Source organism: Homo sapiens, chromosome 5 (genome assembly GCF_000001405.40).
Source record: "Homo sapiens chromosome 5, GRCh38.p14 Primary Assembly".
NCBI lineage: Eukaryota > Metazoa > Chordata > Mammalia > Primates > Hominidae > Homo > Homo sapiens.
The window spans coordinates 143,114,286-143,138,889 of NC_000005.10; the positions used below are offsets into that span (position 1 = coordinate 143,114,286).

Here is a 24,604-nt window from a genome sequence, read left to right on the forward strand (position 1 = left end):
TCATGGCCCTGACGGGTGTTCTCGACAGAGGCCTCCTCAGCGCTGTTTGGAGCAGTCCTGCCTCACCGAGTCCAGGTAGTATTCAGGCAACACAGAGTCTGACTTGGTAGAAAACATGCAGTGAGTGGCAGTGAGGATTCCCCCCGCCATCCTCTGTTATATACTAAGGATAGATTTAAGGCTGGTGAAAAGAACCAAATTAACAGCCCTGGAAACTAAACTTGTCTGGTTAGCCACAAAAAAGTGTTGTTCCAGCAGCTTCATTTCCAGCTAATCCTCTTCAGCCCTAGAGCTTGGAGCTTCTCTGAGAGGGTAGTAGAGAGAAGGGTGATATTGACTGCAGCTTAGTTACCCACCCACTTACCTATAATACTTTCAGAATTGGTCATCTCAGGCCTACCCCAGCACCTGCCTGTGTTCTGCAGAAGATGCATTCCAAGGTCATGATCCAGCCCCTAGTCCTAAGGTATTTGTGAACAGGGGAGCAGCTGGTGTAGAAATGTCCCATGGGATTGACCGTGACGTATCTCTTAGAGGAAAAAGCTTGGTATGGCCTCCAATGGTCAGTGGAGTGCTCAGAACTGTTCTTTGTAGGGTGGTGGGCTTTGTATGGTGGGGGAGAACTTGCTGGGCAGGCTAGGGGCATGATGTTGTTGGTGTCATGAAGGCAGAGTGAGTTTGGTGGCTTTGCTTTGGCTCCATGTGAGGCTCTCAGCCTGTTGTGCCAGAAGTACTTATAGGGAAGTGATAGAAAATAAGTACTATAGCCAGGTGTAGTGGCTTATGCCTGTAATTCCAGCACTTTGGGAGGCTGAGGCAGGTGGATCACCTGAGGTCAGGAGTTCGAGAGGAGCCTGGCCAATATGATGAAACCCCGTCTCTGCTAAAAATACAAAAGTTAGCCAGGCATGGTGGTATGCACCTGTAATCCCAGCTACTCCGGAGGCTGAGGTGGGAGAATTGCTTGAACCCAGGAGGCGGAGGTTGCAGTGAGCCAAGATCACGCCATTGCACTCCAGCCTGCACGACAAGAGTGAAACTTAATCTCAAAAACAACAACAACAACAAAAAACGAAAGAAAGAAAAGACGTACTATTATGATTTGGGGTTTTCTATAGATTCAAAGTATTTCATATTTTTTTTTTACACCAAAGAATGAAAAGAGGAGAAATACAAATAGGTAGGGTACAGAAGTCTTTGAAACATAAGTGGAGAAGATGCAACCTCTTGCCCCAAGCAGAAGCAGGCCACTAGGGGTTCCTGGGCAGGATACCAAGCGAAACTACCAACTAACAGTGTGGCTTTAAATTGGCAGTTGCTGCTACTGCTACCACTTTCATCAGCACTACCTCGACAGCCACCATGACAAGAGCAGATGTCATTTATTAAGCCATTATTTCATGCTAAGGGATTTACTTGCAGAATCATACTTAATCAGCCTTTCAAGTTTACAAGCTACAAGCTACATATTATTGCTCCCATTTTATATGTGAGGAAACAGGTTTAGAGAGGCCAGGTGACTTGCCTGCTGCCATCCAGCTGTTAATGTCTGTCTTATTCCAACTACTGTGCTATGATCTCCCTTAGCTTTATTGTCCAAATTTGCAAATTGGAGAGAATATTTGCACTTTATACCTCTATAGCAGTATTTCTCAAATAGTAGTTCACGGCATATAAGTGGCTCATGAAAACAATTTATTGGATAAAAATAGAATCGACAGGATAAGATGGGAATAGAAATATCAGAGTGTGTCATACTTACTATTCCTGAAAACTTTTGTTTCTGATATAGTGTGGGGGTGTGTGCCTGTCTGTTTATGTATGTGTGTATTGCTTGGTAAAATATACTTCCTACCTTGGGTCATTGTCAGAAAGTTTGAGCGCTACTATTATAGAGTTATTATATAGGTCAGATAAATGTAAAAAGTTGTTGTAGAGCTTTTTTAAAAAGTCTAAAATGCTCTGTAAGCCTAAGTTCCTGTTTAATATTGGAAGGTGAAGCAAACAAGGAAGGGATGGTGGATAAGTGGGATGAGCTGTTGCTCCACCCATCCAACCCATGGTACATTGTGAATCTGTCACTACATTGTATCCAGTGGAGCCAGTACTCCTCTTTGACATTTTTCAACATAACACTCTAGGCCTCAAGATGAAACTTATCTCCAAACCCTACAATAAGCTTATGTATTGTTGGAATACTTTAGGACCAGTCTGGTGTTTTAAAGTACTGCTTAGCACTTATAGAGCTCTGGCTCTCATTTAAACTCTAGGAAAACAGATGTGATCCCTATGACAGCCTGGGGGTCTCTGCCTTACAAGCCCTACAAGGGTTGGCTACTGCTATTCCCATCATAATGCTCCCTCTGCCACCATCCCCACCACCATCTTTATCTGGAAGTGATTTACCTCCTTCTGCCTCTCAAAGGACATCAGACCAAAACAGAGTCTCCATCTATTTCCTCTTAAAGCAAAGGTGGCAAGAGGCCCCTCTGCCAAGGCCATTTTCATGGAACATGCTCTTTCCTCATTGAATCCAGTTCATGCGGGAACTGCCTGAAACATGGGGTACCTATACCTCCCTACCCCCAACAACTGCCCTGAAGTCATGCCCCTCGGGAGATCCACTGCTTCTCAGTGGATGCAGCCATTCTGATGATCACAGAAGAAACTGGATCTCTCCCAAGTGAATATCACATGCAAAACTGTTTCTCTGCAGCAGCCAAAGGAAGCCTGTAGAATTGGCAGTTCTTTCAAAAGACGCCACAGCAGAGTAGTCCACGTGGATGTAGGGATCTGAAAAGCATGTGTCAAAGACTCCTTCACTGCAACATGAAGTGTACAAGAAGCTTCTCTGTGTAGATTTTAAGTCAAGACTCAACATGACATTCTGAGCCATGTGAGGAGGAACTCAGACAGCTCAATTTGACAAAAGAGCAGGTTCTCTGTGTTTTATAGACCTTGCTAATGAACGAGTCCCGTGGCCTCTGCTGGACCGGCTCCGCAGTGCTCTGCCAGCCTGTTTCCCATGCATCTGTAAATTCATCGAGCTATAATGGATGGCTGGTGCCTGCAGAGGCTGACGTCTAGGCCTTTCTGTCCGGGATACATAGAGATCTCAAGCCATTAATAATTCATTCTGGAGTAATGAACATAGCTGTACCAAGTTGTGAGCAGTAATAATCAAGTGATGGATCAATTTATTACTTCAGTGTGCCGAAAGATAATGGTCATTAATAATGAAAGGTGTAACTCTTCCCACCCAAAAAAAAGTTTCCTAAGACTTAGATCAATGTGTCTTTTAAGTTCTAAAATAACATGGATCATTAAAAGGGAAATGAATTATGCTGGGTAACCTCAAGCTTATTTATATTCAGAGTTGCTAATCCAGAATTAATATACCTTTTTTCCAAATGCCTTTGGGCACTGGGGCCTGCAAATCAGAGTAATTATTACTCATTAATTAAGTCTAAGAAATGGAACATAGCTGAAGACTTTGATAAGGGAGGTTGGGATAGTTGAGATACATTCCCCAAAAATCATTTGAAGTTTAATGAGTAAGTAGCTGGGTTGGGAATAATTGTTTTAGGCCTACTCAGAAACTCTCCTCATCTTTTATTGCCTTAGTGAAAGCTCATTGTGCACCTCCTGTGCCAAGCAGTGTGCTTAGCACTGGTGCTACCAAATAAAATACCATACTTCCTCTTCTCAGGCCTTGGTAGGGATGACAACACTGTGTAATAAATGCAGGAGCAGGCCAACACTTCTGCCTTCACTGGGTATAGAGGATTGGAGAAAGGTGAAAGGAAAGTACAGAAAGGAATGGGCCATTTGAGCTGAGCCTTGCATATTAACAGTTTGCCAAGCAAAGAAAGCAGCAGAAGAACATTTCAGGCAGAGGAATGATATGGACAAAGGCAGAGAGGTGTGGAAGTGGAATGAGAGTGAAAAGTGAATTAGTATGATAATTACCACATATCCCATGCATTCTCACATTTAATCTGTACAACATTCACATGAAGTAGGTATGTTATTCACCCAACTTCTTCTTTTTTTTGAAGATGAGGAACCCAAAGCTTAGAAAGATTGAGTCACTCTGCCCAGACACCCAGAGCTGGGAGGTGGCACAGGCAGGCCTAGTGGTGATTTGAGGAAAGGTATGCTGTTTTATAAGAGTTCAGTCTTTGTGTTAAAAATAGTCGGGCAGGCCAGGCACAGTGGCTCACGCCTATAATTCCAGCACTTTGGGAGGCCAAGCTGGGAGAATCACTTGAGACCAGGAGTTCAAGACCAGCCTAGGCAACATAGCAAGACTCTGTCTCTACGGAAAAATTTAAAAACTAGCCAGGTGTGGTGGCGCATGCCTGTAGTCCTAGCTACTCAGGAGGCTGAGGCAGAAAGCTCTCTTGAGCCCAGGAGTGTGAGGGTGCAGTGATCTATGATCATGCCACTGCACTCCAGCCTGGATGACAGAGAAAGGCCTTGATCACACACCGGGGACTGTTGTGGGGTGGGGAGAGGGGGGAGGGATAGCATTAGGAGATACACCTAATGCTAAATGACGAGTTAATGGGTGCAGCACACCAGCATGGCACATGTATACATATGTAACAAACCTGCACATTGTGCACATGTACCCTAAAACTTAAAAGTATAATAATAAAAAAAAAAAAAGAAAGAAGAAAGAAAAACAGTGGGGCCCACTACAGGTTTACAGTCGTCATTATCAGAACAATTAAACAATAAAAGCACTGCTAAACATTCACATGTGCCATGCCATTGTGTTCTCCCCAGGGGAGGTGTGAGAGCTGAGTTTTAGGTGGAACTGCTGATAGCAGGGAGGATAAAGCTGAAATTAGAGGTTCTTGGGTCAGGAACCCTAGTTAGGAGGCTGTTACTTTAGTCAGATGTAGTGTGGAGAAGCCTGACGGGGAAAAATGATCATCATCCAAACCGTGTATTTTTATATTGGTCTACAATTTGAAGGTACTTTCATAAAAAAATAGCTTGTTGATTCACTTGCACACGGGACTTTTGTGACAAGAGGCTAAGTTTAATGACTTAGCTCTTTTGGGAGGGGAAGTATAAGGACATAGAATTTCCTTGCCACACAGAGGAGCTGATGTTGAAAGTAGTGATGTTAAAAGCAGCTTGTAAATATGCATACTTGCTGATTGACTGAGGCACAGAACCGAAGTCTCTCCCCCTTGCCAGGTCAGAATTTGACCATCTGCATTAACTTTGTCAAACTGGAAATGTGATGTAATTCTGGGTAGAATGGAAAACATAAGTAAAACCAGGAGACTCAGCAAGAACTAAGAAAATGTTTGTAAAATATTCTTTATGTGGACCAGAAACAGGCCACTCTCCCTGCTGCAGGTGTTGCTTAGCAATCAAAAAGCAAATCCTCTTTCTAACTGGGCTGTGCCACAGTTAAAGTTTCATAAACCTAACCATGCTCTGCCCACCTTTAGAGGAGGAAGTTAAACTCAGCCCTAAAAAAATTATAGAAAAGTACACATCTGCTAATAAAATTGGTTGATATGGTATTTCAATAAAGGCTCAGTTTAAAAACCAGCGCTTAAGGCAGTATAATCTCTTTTCTTCCTTAAAAAAAAAAAAAGTGGACCAGAGAAACAGTGAGAAACACTGCAGGCATTTATAGAATTGTGTGAAAAAATACTCCATATAAATAGCACTAAATGCTAGGGAGGTAGGTCTGTGCAAACTGCCTATCTCTACCCAATTTGTCTCTAGTTTCAAGTTAGTAATGAATAGCTTCCTTCTTGTAACAGGTGATTTAGGGAAGCTCTTGATATTGTCTCAACAAAACTGAATGGCATTAACTTTTAACTTATTTGTTGCCAAGTAGATGATTTATATGTTTTTATACATGGGGCCAGCAAGTGAACAATCGAGTTTTATAGCTAGGTCCTGGTGGCCTGGGTATGGAGTTCAGATACATCTTTTGAGTAGTTGTTTATTCAAAAATATGCCTACGTCTTTAGCAAATTACTCACAGGGTCAGCGACTGTTGACCCTGTGTGTTTGTTAGACTTTGAGTGTAAGTGACAATATAAACACAGCCATATAGATGAATATACACTAGTGCATTTTTATTTCTGTTTATGCCCTGTTTCACTTAATGTGAGCCATATGTTTAATCTGATCGGCCTTTAATACTTTACATCTAAAGTGCTGAATTTCCTTACTTGGTTTTAAATATCCAGATCTGCCCATTTAAAAAATTATGTCTATTTAATGCTTATGTTTGCAAATGTATTAAAGCCATCAAGAGGTTTTACATTTGCCATGGAGAAAAATGCTAACGATTGCAGTTTAAGCAGCTGCCAAGTACATAAATTGTAATTAAGAGGGATTAGCAGTTACCTGGACTTGCAAAACAGGGATTCAGATGTTCAAAGGTTAGTAATTTGGCAGATAGTTGCTTTGGTTGGTTGGTTGTTCTAGGCAAAATGGAAATGATAAAGCGTGTCATATCCTGAAATAGCAAAATAGCCTGGATGCTGAAGATTTCTGAAATGTGGTAGATTTTCTGACTCCTGTGGCATCTGACGATGACCCAAGTTCTGGCTCCTACAGATGAGGAGTCTATAAATAGGAAGATAGGAAGGATACAGGGTGGTTGGTATCTCTGTGTACACGATTTGTCTCATTGGTACCTTTTCTTTTCCTTCCTCCCAGTGTTGCTAACAACCACAAGCAGAATTTGATGACGGTGGCAAACCTTGGTGTGGTGTTTGGACCCACTCTGCTGAGGCCTCAGGAAGAAACAGTAGCAGCCATCATGGACATCAAATTTCAGAACATTGTCATTGAGATCCTAATAGAAAACCACGAAAAGGTAATATGTAATTGATCACTTGCAGTGAAGAATGTACCTGGGGGGAAGCTGCATTGGAATTGACCTTCAGAGTTGGCTCAGATTTGCATTGCTAATCACTCTTACACTGTCATGACGATGAAGTTGCTGGTGGTGGTAGTGATGGTGGTGATGATAATGTAAGGTTGGTGGTAAAGGTGTCAACCGTGGTAGTTACAATGACAACAGCCATGGTTATGGTGGTGGCAGTGGTGGGTAAAATTGATTGAGCATTATGTGCCAGGAACTGTGTTAAATACTTTATATGTATATTGTTATTTTATCCTCACAACAATTCAATGAAGGAAGTACTCTTATGAACCTCATTTTGGAAACATGCTTTGCCCATTTCTTACTTGATTGTTTTCTTATGAATTTATGAGTTTTTTAAATTTTAGGGATATTAAACTTTCTTCATTTGTGTTGCAAATATTTTGACCTATAGTTTGTCTTTCAGTTTTATAAATGGTGTTGTATTTTTTGTACCGTTTGTGTGCGCGTGTCTTTATGGTCTGTCTTTTCTTTTGGGGAATTGGGGTTCCTAGTCTTTCTTTCGAAGGTTTTCCTCATCCCCCAATTTGAAGAATATTAACGCAGAGCTGCCCTTGTAAAACTGGGGAGGGGACATAAAGCTGCAGTCCTCTCACCCACTTCATTGCTCTTATGAGCAAATCCATATGAAGCTTCTCAGAACTTGTGCAGGGTTCCCTAAAGCACCATTTGGCAGCAACAAATCTGGAATCTAATAAAAAATGCTGTTTCTCTTAAATAAAAACTTTGCCTAGAATGGCAAATTAATCATGCACAATAAATCCAGAATCTGACCATGCCTCACCACGTACACTGATAATGTTGTAAGCCACCACTACCTCTTGTCTGACTTTTTACAAGAGCCTCCTAATTTGTTTCTTTCTTGTACCCTTGGCCTGACAATTCTGATACCAGCCACCAGAATGAGATTTTTTTTAATGTTAAGCCAGATGGTATCAGTTTTCTCCTAAGAATTATCCAGTGGCTTCCCATTTCATACATTTGCCCACATAGTCTCTGTCCTTTTACTGTTACTACCTGATCTCGTCTCCTGCATCTCTCCTATAGCCATCTTGTTTCTGCCTTGCTGTTTCTTGGACACCACAGGCACATTCCTACTTCAAGGCCTTCGCAGTTGCTGTTCCCAGTGGTTGGAACACTGTTCTTCCATAAAACCACATGGCATACTTCTCCCTTCCTTCAAGTGTACTAAGTGAAGCCTACCTAGATCTCTCTGTTTAAAATTATAATCCCAACTTCCTGCATTCCCTTTTCCTTTTATTCCACTTAGTCTGTTTTCATATCAAAAGACAAAATCACAACAAGTTTAGTTTAAAGATGTTAATTGACTTTTATTTGCGATTCTAGAATTGGGCAACACCTCATTCTGTAAAATAGAATGAATATTCCAGGAGCTGAGCAGAGGAGGTTGGCTTTATAGACAGAAAAGGGCTAAAGAAGAGAACAAAAAGCAGATTAATTGTTTTGAAGTTACTTTCCTTGTAAAAGTTAAAGCAGAGGGGACTTCCTTCAGTGCTGACTAAAACTGGCCTGTTTGGGGATTTGCCTGTTATCTCTCCCCTCATTTATTGGAAGGTCAGACAAACAACTTATTTTTGGCTTGATGGCATAGAACTTCAGCAGAAGTAACTGCATTTTGATTTGGTCTCTTGAGCCTAGGGCAGGAGCTCAGTCCAAACCAGTGGCCTCCTATCAATTTTATTTAACACATAGGACTTCACAAATTATAGGGCATGTAATAAAATTTACTTACTGATTAGATCCATTGGCTTTCTGACCTCTTCAAGCATGTGTGCTTCAGGAAAGCAGGGACGTTGTGTTTTGTTCCTCAGTAGGCACTAGTACATTGGTTTTGGGTGAATGTGACAGCCAGCCTCCAAAATGGCTCCCAGTGATCCTGTCCACCAGTGTTCATTCCCTTGTGTAGCCCCCTCCACCTCTGAATAGAGCTAGCCTATGTGATCAATAGAATATTGCCAAAGTCATGGTATTTGACTTCTGAGAACAGAACATGTACATTACTCTGGGAAGGTCATCCTTCATATTCATAGGGTTTGTCGTCTTTGTGAGAGCAATTGGAATAAGCCATCTTGACTCCTTTTTCACTGTAGCTTCAGGCCTAGCCTGGTATGAAGTAAGGAGATGCTCCCTCAGTCTTTTTTGGAAGTCTGTGGTGTTCAACTCACAGCAATTCTAAGCATCCGTGGCTGTGCTCTGGCCTCTGGCTTTCTGGAGATAACACTTTGTATAAACTCCCTGCCAATAGAACTTAACTTTAACCATCAAATCCAGAGCAATTTTATGTCCTCAGAAGGATGTTGTCGGAGACTTACTCTTTAAAATCCACAATGTTGGCCAGGCACAGTGGTTCACACCCGTAATCCCAGTGTTTTGGGAGGCTAAGGTGGGAGGATCATTTGAAGCCAAGAGTTTGAAACCAGCCTGGGCAAAATAGCAAGACCCCCATCTCTACAAAAAATAAAAATGAAAAATCAGCTGGATATGGTGGCACATGCCTAAAGCCCTAGCTATGGGAGGCTGAGGTGGGAGGATCACTTGAGCCCAGGAGTTCAAGGTTACAGTGAGCTATGATTGCACCACTGCACTCCAACCTGGGTGACAGTGAGATCCTGCATCTAAAATAAATAAATAAAATGTTTTAGAACATAAAACTTCATAGTATTTAAGGTCTTAGTTAATACTTACCAACCATTTCCTTAGACTTGGCTTTAATTTTCTGTAATAGAAACACACACACACACACACAAACACACAATGTCTAGGGGTGACTCTTCTTCTGTCTAGTCTTAGTGTCAAAAGTTAGACAAAATCCTGAAACCCTATTTGAAGAAATGCTTTCCAGCAGCACCTTTTCATGTGAAACAAGTTTGCTTGAAACAAGCCCTACTACAGGGCTAAAGTATATACCCCCCATAGCGACTAGCACAGTATTCTCTCATGTTGTTAACATCTTATATAAGGTATTTACTTTGTGCTTCGGAATAATCATTAGGAGGGCTCTAGGAATAAATGGAACATAGCACTGAAAAGAAGGTGTGGAAACCTAGGCATCTAGCCATTGGAGCCACTCCATTGACGGAGAGACGAAGAGAGCCATGAGATGTTTTAATTTTCTATTGCTATATAGCAAATCATCTCCAAACCTAGTGACTTAAAATAGCAATTATTTTATTACTCTCAATTCTGTGAGTCAGAAATTTGAGAAGGGCTTATGTGTGCCCCTTGTGGTATCAGCTGGGTTGGTTTGACTGGGACTGGAGGGTCCAAGGTGGCCTCACTCCACACAGCTGGGACTTTGGTACTAGGTGTTGACCAGAATGCCTTGATCCTCTGCCACAAGACCCCCCTCTTTCCAGGTGCTGTCCCATCATTCAGGAGTCCAGCCCCAAGTTCCAAGAGGGCAAACACAGAAGCAGCAAGGGCTGTTAAGGCTTAGGCCTGGAGCAAAGTATCATTTCTGTCACATTCTGTTGGCCAAAGCAAGTCACAAGTCCAGCCAGATTCAAGGCAGGGGGAGCTAGATGCCACCTCTGGGTGGGAGGAGCAGTGTGTGCACACAGGCGTGGGAGGATTGTTGACCGTTATCTCTGCAGGGGATCTATGGTACCCAGCAAGTTTGCATTTAGTTCCCTTTAGGAATGACTCTGCTTTCTTATCAGTGGTTTGTGCTGAGCATGGGTAGCAACCCAGTGTTTTTATGGAGAGTGCTTTTCCGCCTCCTCTCTGCATTGCCATTTTTTATTCAACCAGGAGCCTCAGGCATCTGGTGGTAGTGACAATTTCAGCCCTTAAATGCCCTTTGTGAGCCTTGGTATGGAGAACCAACTCATAAATATCTAAAATTGGAAAAACATTTTTAAGATTGGCATTAAAGAAAAAGGAAAGAGAAGTGGGTAATTCAGTTTCTTTAACCTGGTAAAACACCTCTTTTTCAATAGAAGGTAAGAGACCTCTGTGTTCTAACTAGCTAAGGCATACAATCTTTTCTCTCTTTGCCTACCTGTCTTTCTGTTGTTTTCCAAGGGTTAACATTAGACATTCAGCTGAGGGTTAATAGTGAACATGATCTCCTTTATTTTGTCACTCACACCCACACATCCTCAAGATAGTACCTGCAAGTCTAGAAACACCCTCTCCCCCCAACCCAGAGAATCCATCTATATCTTCCTCCTGGGAGCCATAGTGATGTGTTTCACACACAACTTGTGTTTGGTCAGATAGAGTGCACTAACGACATGCTTACCCTGTCACAATGGTCCAGAACTTCTGTCCTCCACCTCTCTCACGGACCTGGGAGGGAAGCAGTGTTTGGCACAATTCTGGGAAATAAATATCCTAGATTAGGAGGAGACAGAGAGGAAAACAGCTAGGAGATATGATATTATGTTTGGGGGCTCATGGAAATTTTTCTTTTTCCATGTTGGTAATACATACTGATTGTTTACTCAATTAAAATTAATGAATCCTTTAAATGAATACAGTCCAGAAATAATAATGATGATAGTAATAGCTAACTTTTACTTACAGCTTATTGTTTACAAGATATTGTGCTAAGCAGCTTTATATCCATCATTCAATTTTCACAGCAACCCTATAAAATTGATATTTTTAGCTCTGTTTTTACAAATTATAAGCCTGAAGTGCAGACACTTTAAGAAGCAGCTGATTAGGAGAGGAACAGGGGTTGAACTTAGTACTACTCTCAGAACCCAAGCTATTAAAATCTACTCTAGTTAATCTCTTTTCAGTGCAGTAAGCATTTTATTGAATATCTACCATTAGCCAAAGATAAGTAAAATAGGTCCTTCATTTTTCAAGGCACTCCCATTTTATCAAGATAGAACTAACTATAATACAGTGTGCTAAATGACCTCCAGTAAGATGAATAAAGTGTTATGGCATCACTGAGGATAAATAATTTAATTCTACTGGCATTGGGCTCTGACAGATCAATGGAAGTTTTCTAGGCAGAGAAAGAGTAGAGATAGGAGGGACAGCCACTCAGAGGAGCAGCATTAATCAAGTTGTTTGTATTAAAATGGCATGGTTGTGAAAGACTGTGGGTTGTTAGCAAGTAGTGGGTGATGATGCCAGAGAGTTGGATTCAGTCCATTTGCTAAGGGTCCTGAAAACTATAGGAAAAGGTTTTGAACTGACTTCTGAAAACTGGGAGCTCTCAGAAGTTTCCAAGTGGAGGCTAAAATGATTATGTCAGCACTTTAGAAAGACATCCTTGGAAGCTGAACCAAATAGTACTTTGATTGCTGACATCAAAATCACACATTAAACAAATAACACAATAGAGTTAACCATACTGTTCTAAACTTGCAGCTCAGATAGTGTCACCTTTGACCTACAGGCTTTGCTTGGAGGTTAGAGAGAGATTCTTAATTTGTTTCTTTTTGCCAGACTTCCTAAGGGGAAATACTAGCTCATAGCATCATTTCCTATTAGTGACTCCTTACCGTGGACTCTCCTTGAATTATATGAGAACTAAAGAGTAGATTTGATGGTGTAGCTCTTTTTAGCTACAGTCAAGTTTCTGAGTTGAAAGCTCAGATGGCAAAGATTTTGGCTCTTCCCACGCTATGTTAAGGTAGCAGTCAGTTATGCAAAATTACCATTTCCGTATGAACAGAATCTTTTCTCCAAACTCACACCTTATCACACTGAGTCTTAAAACATAAAGTAGGCAAAAACTTAAGGTTATGGTTAAAGCAACCAATATTTTTATGCTTCCAGCTAAGATTTTCAAACAAAATATTGAATGCTGTCATGGTCCAAGATCTCAAAGCCCAGAAATTATATTTATTACAAGGTTTTCCCTTTACTTAGTGTTTTAAACGCTTACTTGCTAATGACTATGACAATTTTAGATGTTTAAGAAGGACAACCATATCAAGAAAACAAACTGCTTGCTTTTCATAGTTTTGGTTCAACATGAAATTTCAGGCTACTTAGTGTATGTGTGTGTGTGTCCCCTTGCTATTAAATTCCAACACATAATAGTAGGATTGCACTTGTTCTGTAACAATCCATGCTGTGTCTTGTGGCTGTGGCACTCGAAACGGTTTCTGTACATGGAGCAGGATATGTGTGTGTTCATGTGTTATGTACCACAGGCTTTTGCCAGCATTGCCTCTTTTGATGCCTATTAATGTTTGACAAAATAAGTTATAATAATTCCTTCCCTAGTCCATCAGTTAGCTTTGGAAGAGGTGGGAGTGTTGATCATTGAGCTGTTAATTCTCAGAAATCCCCAAAGATCGGTGCCCCTTTTTAATGTGTTAACTTTCAACCTCAGATGTCAAGGAGAGGAGCTAGCAATCATGGATGACCCCCACTTAACACCTGGACTAAGCACTAAATCCTAAGCAACCTCGCATTCCCAATAAAATGCTAGTGACTTACAATGTAGTTAGCTCAATTTGAGTTGATTTGGGCCACCAATCTGCCTTGATCTGCTTTTACCAAAATATTGGTGACATTGAAATCCATTGGACTAGTTCTGGACTTTGTGCACAAAATGTACATTAGTTAATATAGTTGGTTTGGCAACTGACAGGTGTTTAGAAGTCGCATTTTATTTCTTTGATATTTCAAACAGTTGTTGATATGCAAAATTAATAAAAAGGTATGACTGGATGCTTCACTATGTTGAAATAGTCATTGGTACTCTTGCCTGCTCAGGAAGCTAATCTTGTCCTGTGGTCATGGCTTTTGTAATTTGTTCATCAATTTTTATTTTTAAATTTTTTGTTGACTTCCCTTCCAATGGTTCTTGCTTGTACTCTTTTTGTTCCTCTCCTTGTTAGGGTTCAGAAGCAAGCTAGATTTACTTGGGTGTTGAGCTAGAATGCTTCTGCCACAGGGCTATTTTCTTTTTTTAGTGACAAGTGCTGTGTAAGATACTCTTCATTAATGTGATAAGGTAGGTTGTGCATTTGAACACATATATTCCCCCCAATAAATCCCAGATAAACCAATAATTGTTTGAATTGTGAAGCTCCTTTAATATTACTCAAATAAAGGTGGAGATTGTTGTTGTATTTTAATCTATCCATCTTTGTCAGCAAAGAGAACAGGAAATAGAATCTTTCTGGAGATATGGAAAATCACAGCTCTCCATGGATTACCCAAGCTGTCTATATATACCCTCAGTTACTAATGTAATTGGTTCCTTTTGAGAGATTTTTAATACAACTACCCAAACTACTTTCTAAATTGTTGATCCCTCTGCCAAAATGCTGATATCAACAGGACATAGGACTTCCAACTGTCCTTAAAAAACCTCTGCAGTTACAGCCTCTGAATTTGGCTTCTTAACAGTTACAATACATAAGCCCTGCTAAGACTTGCCTGGCTTCCACTGTGAAGGTGCTGGGTTTATGGCTTCTCTGAGAGCACCACGCAGTCCTCGGTCCCATTGTCTGTCATGAGAAGGAGTGAGCTGTGCTCAACTGTTGTAGGTCTACTTTCCTAATGCGTCAAACAAACCAATCCCACATTACTAGGGACCCTGGTACATTTGTGTCTCGAGAAAATGCTCAGTCTCATTTCTCGTATAAACCTTTCTGTTTTGCTTTGTAATCCCCAGGCCTCTGCTGTTGATTTATTGTCTCAGAGCTACTTTGCAGTTGTAGACTAGGAGCTCTTCGTCATGACCTAATTTCCCTCCCATAAAAATCACAGCACATAATAAAGAGTACACCACACACATTACAGGGAGACTCCTAATCCTTTTAAATTGCAGGCGCATGTGACAGATGGGATTGAAGAAGGTCTAAAAATGTGTATGTGACATGGATAAGAACAGATTCCACAAGTGTCAATGCTCTGCAATGTCAAGATGGGCCAGAGGGGGAATCAGTGAAATTTAAATTTTGTAGACAGTGCAAGGGAATAAGAACAGGAAATTCTGTCATTGCTGTAAACAGTTAAGATCAATGTTTTGCAAAGAACAGTAATTATATTTACACTTATAAATTAAATCCTCATGTCCTGACTGCAAATAATCCATTGTTGAATCTCCAGTTATTTCCCTTCTTGTGTGTCTCCTTTTTTATTGACTACAGTAATATCTTTTGAACACTGAATGTCAAACTGTATTAGGCGTGTCAGTCCTCACCACAGTCCTGGGACTTTTTACAGATAAGGTCTCTGAAGGTCAGAGAGTTACATAATTTGCCCAAGGTCACAGCGCTAGTAAGTGACTAAAATCAGATCCGCCAGACTCCAAAACTTATGTCTTCCCATTTTGTCCTCTGTCTCTCAAATTAATAGTAGCTATAAAGACCACAAGTGCTTAAGACCCAGACAGTCAAGCCATCTAGGTCCCAGTCCAGCTGCACTCCTTATCTATGTGACCTTGGACAAATCAGTGAATCTCAAGGAGTCTCAGTTTTCTCATCTCAAGAGGGCAAGAATAATAGTACCTCCCTTACATGGTTATTGTGAGTAAAATAATCCATGTAGATAATCCATGTAAATAACTGAGCATGATAAGTGCTCAAATTCTGTTTTTATTGTCATTTATACCACCACCATCTCATGCCTACTCTTTGCCACATACTGCACTGAGCATTTTATGTGCATTGTCTTTTCAGTAGCTCTGCAAGGCAGGTATTAGATCCTTGCTTGCACAAGGGAAACAGACTCAGAAGGGTTAATTATCTTGACTGAGATTACATAGCTAGTAGGTAGCAAAGTCAGGATTTGAACCCTACTCTGTCTAGCTCCAAAGCCTGTTTGCTTTGTACCTGTATGATGATCTTAAGTTCCTTTCCTGTATTTGATGTGATGATATGGCAGTGATGTCAGCGTCAGTGATGGTGAGGTCCGTGTAGCTGTAGGTGTTGCTGCCCACTGAATGAGAAGCAGAACCAAGATCAGCCCAGGTTTGTCTGACTGCAGAGGCCAAACCATCCCTGACCACTGTGACTTGCAGCTTAAGGCGAAACAGTAGCTTGGTATTTATGGATCTGCTAATTCCACTTACAGGAAGCTTGAAATTGGGGATACTTAGAAGAGTTACCCAGAGTTATATTTTTGTTTTACAATTTTATTCCCCAATAGCTTCCAGAAGGCTTACAGTCTTCCTTACTTTTATCTCTAAGACATTCCTGACTAAGTCGGAATTACTTTGTGAGTTTGGACAGTATTAACAGGGCACTTGGGGCAGAAAATAAATCTCCCCCTTTTGTGTTAATTTGGAAAGTCTCTGTGAAATGAGTAGATTGTTCCAGCCACATGGTAGAGCTCCATAAATCCATGGCTCATAGGTTATATGAGCTCCTGCTTCCGTCATTCAGCAGGGTTGTTTGCACAGTGATTCTTCTCTACAGACTGAAGAAAACTTCATTTGATTCTCTTGAAATCATCCCTTCCAAAATGAAATAGGATTGGAATAACCAACAAAGTTGTGAATAATTCAGATTCTCATTAGAATCCCAACTCGAGCCTTTAGCATAGAGGCAAACCCGTGGCCAGACAGTCAGCAGGCTTTAAACAATTTGCATGTGTTCAAGTGTCAGAGTTAAATAAACAACAGTCACTTGGGGAATGATTTTCCAGAGTCATTAATGAAAGTTTGTGTCGTCTGCCCTGACTTGATCTAATTTGCAAAAGCACCCTGTACCTTGGAAGAATGTGTAATAGTAATTATGATAATCACATGTCTGGCACTGGACATTTTGCAGTGTGCTTCCTTGCACATTATCTCATTTGATCCTGAGAATAGCCCTATCAGCGGTCTTCAGGAGCCTGGTCCTGGCTCACAATGAGACCCAGGGAACTGACCCTTGGGACTATGGCTCTTGCCCATGGCAAAAATCTCCTTGTAGAGCTGATTCTCTTATGCTTGAATAACTTAATTATTTTAGAGGAAACAGCTGATGAGCAGAGTGAACTTCTCCCTTGTTTGTTACCATGTCTCTTCCTGCTCTGCTGTATATAAATATTGTCTTGGAAGCAATTTTTCACGCATCTGTCTAAAGCCATGGTCCTTCCTCACCAGTTACTCTTTTTTGTTTCTCCAGCATTTACTACAGTTCTCAGGAAATAGTAAAAGCTCACATTTTTGTTGACAGTTGAAATTGAAGTCCATGTTATTTTTGCTCCCATTGTAATTGGGTAAGGGTCTCATTTTCAGTAACTCATTAGAAAAAAAAGAGACAAAATTTGGAGGCCAGAGGCAAAGCAGGATGAGAGGGAAAATAATGAGAACCAGGCCTATCGCTAACTCTGAATTCATTTTCAAATGCTCTTAGCTAGGGATTGCTGAAGGTGCTGTAACTGAGGCCAGAGGCAGAAAGGTACTAGAAGACACTGTTAGGTTGAAACACATCCTTGTATGTTTGGGACACCAGCTTTTGTAGTGAAGATTGCCTGGAGATTAGCCAAATGAATGGCTGCTGCAGCCCTGGGACTTCACTCCTGGTCACTCTCCTGCTTAGCTGTGTGGCATTGTAAGATAGTCATCCAACTTGCTATGCTGTTGGCCTCCAGCTTAGAGATGCATCATGGGATGCATCTGCCTAGCATAGTGCCTGGTAGGTGCAAAACTCATACATAGTAGCCATTTTTAAATGTCAATGATAATGGTACACAGTGAGGTTGTCACCAGGGGATGGCCAAAATAAACAGTAGGGAGAAAGCTTCTTAGAGGTTGCAGTCCTTGAGCTTTTCTTTCTATTATAGAGGCTCAGTAAGAGACTAGAGATGTTTATAGCACTGGTAAACTTGTTTTTTGGGGTTCCAGCTGCTCGGGAAGTTAGGAGTTTTTTCTTGCTTTTACTTGGTTTCCTTCTCTTCTTATTCCCTTGCCCCAGTTGAACTCAGCTACGTGTAGTGATTCAGTTTATCTTGTTGAAAATTTTCAGTCCTCTAGGGAAGATATGATACTGCTGTTTTCAGACAGCTGTGTTTCGGAGTGAGACTGATTTAACCAGCTGGCTGGCATCATTGGAGCCCGAGGACCCGCCAACCCATGGAGAGCAGCTGTTTGGGCTGAAATTCTCATAATTCTTATGATTTTGTTTCCTACACATCGGCTTTTGAGTTCTGTTTTTAAATGCACACAGAAAAGGAGAGAGGACCATGAGAAAGACTGATGTGTCTAGGGCCACTCATGGGTGAAAGGTGGCCCTAGACACATCAGAGACTGTTAGGAAGGAGAAAACTCAGGAGGGAGGAGACCAACTTCAAAGAATAAGAGATGGTAATGAGTGGATCCATAAATTTTGATTTTTCAATATATAGTGGGGGTGTTATGCAGCCATTAAGAATCATGTCTGAAGATTTTTTTAATGAATGAGGAAATACTGTATAATGTTAGATGAAATTATATGATACAAACAGAATAAAGAATATAATTTCAATGATGAAAAGTGTGTGTTAACATTAACTGGAATAATTCATACAAAGCATTTAACTTAGTGCCTGGTGTGGCAAGGACTCAGTAAACCATAGCTACAGGAGGGCAGACTCTCTAACCACAGAACGTGTTTGCCTCCTTCACTGTTAGACCCATAGTGCCTACTATAAAAGAGATGCTTAAAAGGTGTGTGTTGATTGAATGAATGAGCATCAGTATTATTGTATCCATTTAAAAAGGAATCTGGGGTAAAAAAAAAAAAAAAAACTGTTATCTTCTGAAATTGTATCTACAATTGTGGCTACTGAACCTCCCTGAGCCTTAGTTCTTCATTATAAAATGCTGAGGACATTACCTGTTGCTCAGGATTGCTGAGAACTGAGTGAGCTACATGAAAAGTACACAGTGTGACGACTGGTACCTAAGGGAGTCTGCAATAAGTGGTGGCTACTATAATCATGGTAAGCACCATATAAGTATTAGCTATTATAATTATTAAAGTCTGCCATACTTTTATCTGTAGAAATAAAGATGAGAGTTGTCATGATTTCTATCATTTTCTTCTCATTTTTTAGCATGAACTTTTAGAAGAATAAAAGCCCCTCCTCCAAAAAAAAAGCTTATAAATAAATAAAACCTAAATGCTAACAGTGGTTATCTCTAGGTGGTAAAATCGGGATAATTTTTTGTTTTCTTCTTGAGACTTTTCTGCATTTTTCAAATTGTCCATAGTACGTGTGTGGGTGTGTGTGTGTTACTTTTATCAAGATAAACGAGGAAAAGCTCAGCATCACAGATAACACGGAGCTGCTGAACTAGAAAAGGATGCTGCAGCTGAGGACAATTGATGAGGATTGGGAAATGGTGCCCTGCCCTGGGACCCTTTGTGAAATGTTATTTAAATACATGTTTCACAGTTTAAGAAAGTTGTGAAGTAATTGTTAAGAACTTAGAACCAATGGAGAAAAATAAAGGAATTTTTGATTCATTGGTTCTGGACAAAGGTAGTCAAAAAACTTCAAGTGCTGTTAACAGACAGTGGCTTCTATTGAGCACAGCTGCTTTCTTTTTCCCTGGAGAGAACAATAAAAAGACGCTTAGTGGAAATTGTGGCAGAAGAGGTTAGAAATGGAAGTGGGTGGTTATCAAACTCTGGGATAAGCTTCCAAACAAGAATGTTTAATGCCATTTCCTAGAAAAGTTTAAAATGAAGTCTTGAACAACTGCCAGTGGTCTTCTCGGATCTTTTCTTGCTAATTCCAAGACACTGCCAAGCTTTCCGTTGTACTGCTTCAGGCCTGTTTTCTTCCCAGTCCACAGATGTGAGTAACCTTGTTGTGAAACTTCGTTTGCAGATATTTAACACCGTGCCCGATATGCCTCTCACCAATGCCCAGCTGCACCTGTCTCGGAAGAAGAGCAGTGACTCCAAGCCCCCGTCCTGCAGCGAGAGGCCCCTGACGCTCTTCCACACCGTTCAGTCAACAGAGAAACGTGAGTCTTTGCTGCATAGGGCCAGCGTGGCATTCAGGGACATCCCATGCTACCTGCACGGCTCAGGGTGGACACTTCCAGCTTTTCTCTGTGTGCTACTGGCTTTTTGTGTCCTTGAAGACTGTATCATTGTGCCCTCCCAAGTGCCTTTGCTGAGTAACCCTGATAGGACAGGAAGCAATATTATTGAGAATGAAAGAGAAGGGCTGCCATTGAGGATTCTCTTTCCAGATCACCTGTGGACAAACAGCTGAGTCTCTTTTCCTCCTGCTCCTACACAATAAGAGCTGAGCTCAGGCACTGCTTCTTAAGCTCCCCTTTTGTTAGCAATTCCCATAGATCCAGTGTCCTTTCCTTTTCTCGGTTGTAATGAAATACCCATTAGTGTGAGTCACATGCCCTACTAGAATGTGACTCTGTGAGGGTGGGACCTTGTACGGCTTGATCTTTTACTCCACCTTTCATGGTGCCTGGCATGGAGTCGACACCTAAAAATATTTGAAATTCATTAGTGAATTAATTAGGGAACAATACCTTACTTGTTCCAAATACCAGTGTGTTATCACCACAATTATATCACATCCGTTTTTCATCTCAGGATTTCTGAGTTCTTTGCAATGATCAGGTACTGACCCCTAAAATATACAGTATTGTTTCAGCCTTTGCTCTAAGAGAGCCTCCATTTGCTCATCTGTAAAATAGGGATAATAGGACCCACTCATAGGAAGTTATGCGAATTAAATGAAATTATGCATTTCAGCATCTGGCATAAGGCCTGGGACATGGCAAGGGCCAATTACTGAGAGCAGCTACTACCATTATTGGTTACCGTTTAATCACACACAGATAACCAAGGATGGTTCATTCATGCAGCTGACGTTTACACGACACCTACCAGGGACTGGGAATATAAGCATGGGACCTTGGCTTTAAGGAGTTCAAAACTGAGTAAGGAAGGTAGACAAGTGACTACAAATGTGAGTCAGCATCACAGCTGCTTCATTAGAGATATACACATTGAGAGAGGTAGCAGAACACAGTGGTTAAACACACTCTGGCCCCAGGTCGTCTGGGTGTGATTCTGCCTCTGCTGCTCATCAGCAGTGAGTGGCTTGGGAAGTTACCTAATATCTCAGGGCCCCATTCTCCTTTTCTGCAAAATAGGGTTGATGCTTTCTATTTCATGGGGTTGTTCTGAGGATTAAGGCCCTTCAAATGTTGCCAGGAGCAGAGTCAGTGCTCAGTAAATGCTGGGTGGTAATGGCACAGGTATTGCCATCATCATCATTATTATAACTCGTTTCTGTGAGGTACAGTAAAGGGACAGAGGCAGGACAGTGAGCTACTTTGCCTTGAAGAGGAGAGGCTTCATATCTGGATTGGTATCTTTCTTTTTGTCACCAAAAAGGTGCTTATTTAATCCCCTTGTATTTCTAAAGTAGTGGCCTTCCTTACCATAACTTCTAAAAGCAAACCTTCCCCATCCCAAAACCCTTACTGCACTTCAAGATGTCATTGAATCTCATCATGTGGCTGTACCTTGGTATATTTAGCATCATTCGGGTTGTTTCAAATATTTTGCTTTTATAAGTAAAGCTACTATTAACATCCTTGTAACTAAATCTGCTCTTTTTTCATGAACATTTCTTTAGATAAATTCTTAGAATAATTTCTAGGTCAACAGATATACAACGTTTCAGGACTTTGACCCTGTCCTGGGATTGGCTTTCCTTCTAACAGTAGCCTGTGTTCCTTTTAAATATCTGGCTGGGGTCATTCTCACTGTGGTCTGCACGTGGCCTGGGCCCCTGCGAGTGTACCAGGGAACACTTGGAACAGAACTGGCCTCACTCACACCTGCTGAATGAATGAGGCATCAGGCTATGGGGTAATGTGCTTCTCAGGTTTCCAGGACAGCCACGGTCACCTAATGTTTTGTACTTATCAGTGTACGGTGTAGATTAGGAGAGGCTAGACAGTATTGGTAAATTCCCTAAGCTTAAAATAGTGCTGGGTATGTGGTTAGAATGAAGCAGAAGCAGCTTTGGAATAGGCTTTAAAGCATTCTCTGGGAGCTCATAAGAATGAAGATGGAGATCAGGAGAAAATCAGCTAGATCTTTGTCCAAGATTAATTTTATCACACAAGGCAGAGGATGAAAGTTAAGGATGTGTGAAAGCAGGTCTGTCTCAGCTGCAGAGCAAGCTGCTCTGTCCATGTCTGCAGATGGTAGACAGGGGATGCAAAAGGAGAAGACAGTGAACAATAGGGCCTTTCTCTAAATGTTAGGAAATGCTCCCTGGAAACATGACCGGAGCATACAGATATGCTCAGATATTTGTAGGGAGCCTAACTTTCCCTCCTTTCTCAGAGAATAAACATTTTAACTGCAAGTCTGTGTGTTCTTTAACTGCAATTTATATGGGTGTCTGTGTGTATATATTGGTTTGTTTTAGAGACCCCTTTTTTTCTGCGAAGCTAGCATACTATCCAAACCGGCATGGAAGGCACCCTGTGGGGGGGCAGTGGGAGAGTTGACTGGGGAAGACTGAGCTAGGAGCTGGAAGGTTCTGCTGGGACCTGCTCCCTCCCAGGTTGTAATCCAGCCACCCGTCACTGTCGGGTGAGCAGATGATAATGCACTGTGAAGTTTTCACACACTTCACCTTTCTCTTTGTCTGGTCTATGGACAAAGACAGAAAACTTTATCCTAGCACTTTGCTGAATTTACTGTTTGGCATTAAAGTACAGGTAACGATTATGCAAATGTAATAATTTGTGAAAAAAGGTATATATTTCCATATAACAGTGATTTCAGTTTGAGGCCTCCTGACACACCTAGCTCAGTGCTTCCCAAATGCCAGTCATGTACATAACCCCTCATTCACCATTTGTGCCACAGCCACATAGCTCATGCACTGTGACTTATTTAATATACTTCTTTAAGTTAACCTTAAAGCAACTCACTTCTTTCCCTGGCTTCATCCTGATACATAAGACCTCTAAGAACACGACTTCAATGGTCTCACTGTATTATTCTCTAATATATGTTAAAATAAACATGTAACCATTAAGATGGAAAGTGGTCATCCATATCCCACCTTAGAATTATTTTGTGTCCCACTTGTGGAATGCATATCACTGTTTGGAATCCACAAACTGGCTTTTAATTTTGACTGACTTCCATCCTTCCTCTTAATTTAAGTATAGAAACTCAAGTTCCTTTCCTCCACTCAACTAGAATTGGGTTCAGATATTGTCAGTGGGCTGTGGACACTTGCCGTTCATGTCAGTTTCCTGCTGTGCCCTTTCAGTTCATAGTGACACCTGTCCTGGTTTGATGCGACCTTACCTTTCTTCAGGTTCTTGCCACAGAGCAGATACCTGGTTGGAGGGATATGCTGTGAGGGCACACATGCACCCATAGGCACATGCACATGCGCACTCCCGCATACCTCTCCTCTACCTTCACACTTGCCCTGCGATCATTTTCAGAACCTCATTTCTTTTGATAAGTCTGTCCACCTGATCCCTTTTGAGTCCAGTCATTCTCCTTTTTCTCTTCATTGATGCACTTGCAAGTTAATGTTTATTTGGCATTCCATTTGTCAGTCCTCTCTCCAGTCCGCAGTTGAAATGCTTAGTGGGGTTGAGGCTTCCAGAGTAGCTCACTTAGGTATTTCCCTCAAAGAGACTCCAGGTGCTGTTGGCAGCATACATTTTTCTCCCAGCCTCTCTGCAGTGTCCTTACTCTGTGCAAAAGTTGGAGCCCACTGTTTGCTCTTAGAGGTGAATCTTGGCCTTGGATTGTCATTTGCCTCTTCCTTCCCAGAGAAGAAGCTCCTCAGGCTCAGGCCTCTGCCTTTGCACCTGCACTTCAGGCTCATGGTCTGGGATATTAGAATATGCTCATAGATGTGTGTCTTATTTGCCAGAAGGGGTTTTTCCTACAGTGTGAGTAGACCAGTTGTGTGCCCAGGTCCCTGCCTGCGACTCTCTCTCTTTAATCTATGGGTATTAGTATAGTCTTCTCTAGGTGGTTTTGTGTTTTGTTTTGTTTTGTTTTCCTTTTCCTAAACGTAAAGCTGTGGTCTATTCTCAGAATGAGGAGCTTGATGGTTTCTCATGCTCTGTGCTGGGCAGGGACTTAGGTCAGTTATAAGACAGCAAGTCGCTCCTCATATCATAGGCAATGTGTGATGGAAATGGGGCTAGGAGTGAAATGGGAGCAGCCTCTGAGATGAAAACTTTGTGGACAAGAGGAAAGGGAATGATGGGGAAATGCAGGATTTAGAAAGCATCGTAGCAACAAATACAAACCATCAGGAAACCACTGAATATTTTAGTGAGGAAGGAGCTAGATATCAAAGTTATCTGTAGACAGTCAAGGAAGGTTTTCTGAAAGGAAGAGTTTTGAGAAAGATACAAAATGATATGAAGGGTCCCATTCTGGCCCAATAGATAGGAACGGTGGTCTGTGATGGGAGAGTCTCTCTGTGAGTAGCAGTGGGCAGCTCTTGTCTGTAGAACTGCGGAGAGAACTGTAGAAAGGTGATTTAGCCAAACTGAACCTGGAAGACGTTTTCCCTAGAAATTGATTTTTTTCTTGTCTGTGTTTAATATCTATGACTATATAACTTACCAGGTGGTTTCTTGTGTTGGACATTGTGCACCACAACAGCCCAACTAATCTTTAAAATTATATGACACAGGTACTGTCCCTGTTTTACAGTCGAAAGGAAATAAAATTTACATTAAATAGTGTACGCTCAGGGTTACACGGC

At 41.3% G+C, this 24,604-nt stretch overlaps 1 protein-coding gene and 1 long non-coding RNA gene across 36 annotated transcripts in view, besides 2 other annotated features; one reads left to right on the plus strand and one right to left on the minus strand.

The window, feature by feature from the left end:
- The window catches only part of ARHGAP26 (Rho GTPase activating protein 26), a 458,635-nt gene that overhangs the window by 343,909 nt on the left and 90,122 nt on the right, over positions 1–24,604 (plus strand). For all 35 annotated transcript variants that reach the window (NR_146198.2, XR_007058592.1, XR_007058593.1 and 32 more), the window contains 2 exons: positions 6,703–6,862; positions 19,682–19,820. Coding sequence is in view for 32 of the 35 variants with exons in the window: in NM_015071.6 (NP_055886.1) it covers positions 6,703–6,862; positions 19,682–19,820 (299 nt within the window). In the remaining 3 variants the exon portion in view is untranslated. The remainder of the gene's footprint in view (positions 1–6,702; positions 6,863–19,681; positions 19,821–24,604) is intronic.
- Positions 435–504: an enhancer, noted in NCBI's record as "active region_23327". NCBI's record gives its function as "activates an Ori minimal core promoter by ATAC-STARR-seq in GM12878 lymphoblastoid cells {active_cell/tissue: GM12878}" and the evidence as "EXISTENCE:reporter gene assay evidence [ECO:0000049][PMID:35858748]".
- Positions 8,242–11,287, minus strand: LOC124901098 (uncharacterized). Its single transcript, XR_007058980.1, has 2 exons — positions 8,685–11,287; positions 8,242–8,362 (listed from the first exon to the last, which is right to left on the minus strand). It is a non-coding gene; the product is annotated as an uncharacterized LOC124901098 (long non-coding RNA).
- Positions 20,690–20,799: a silencer, noted in NCBI's record as "silent region_16478". NCBI's record gives its function as "represses an Ori minimal core promoter by ATAC-STARR-seq in GM12878 lymphoblastoid cells {active_cell/tissue: GM12878}" and the evidence as "EXISTENCE:reporter gene assay evidence [ECO:0000049][PMID:35858748]".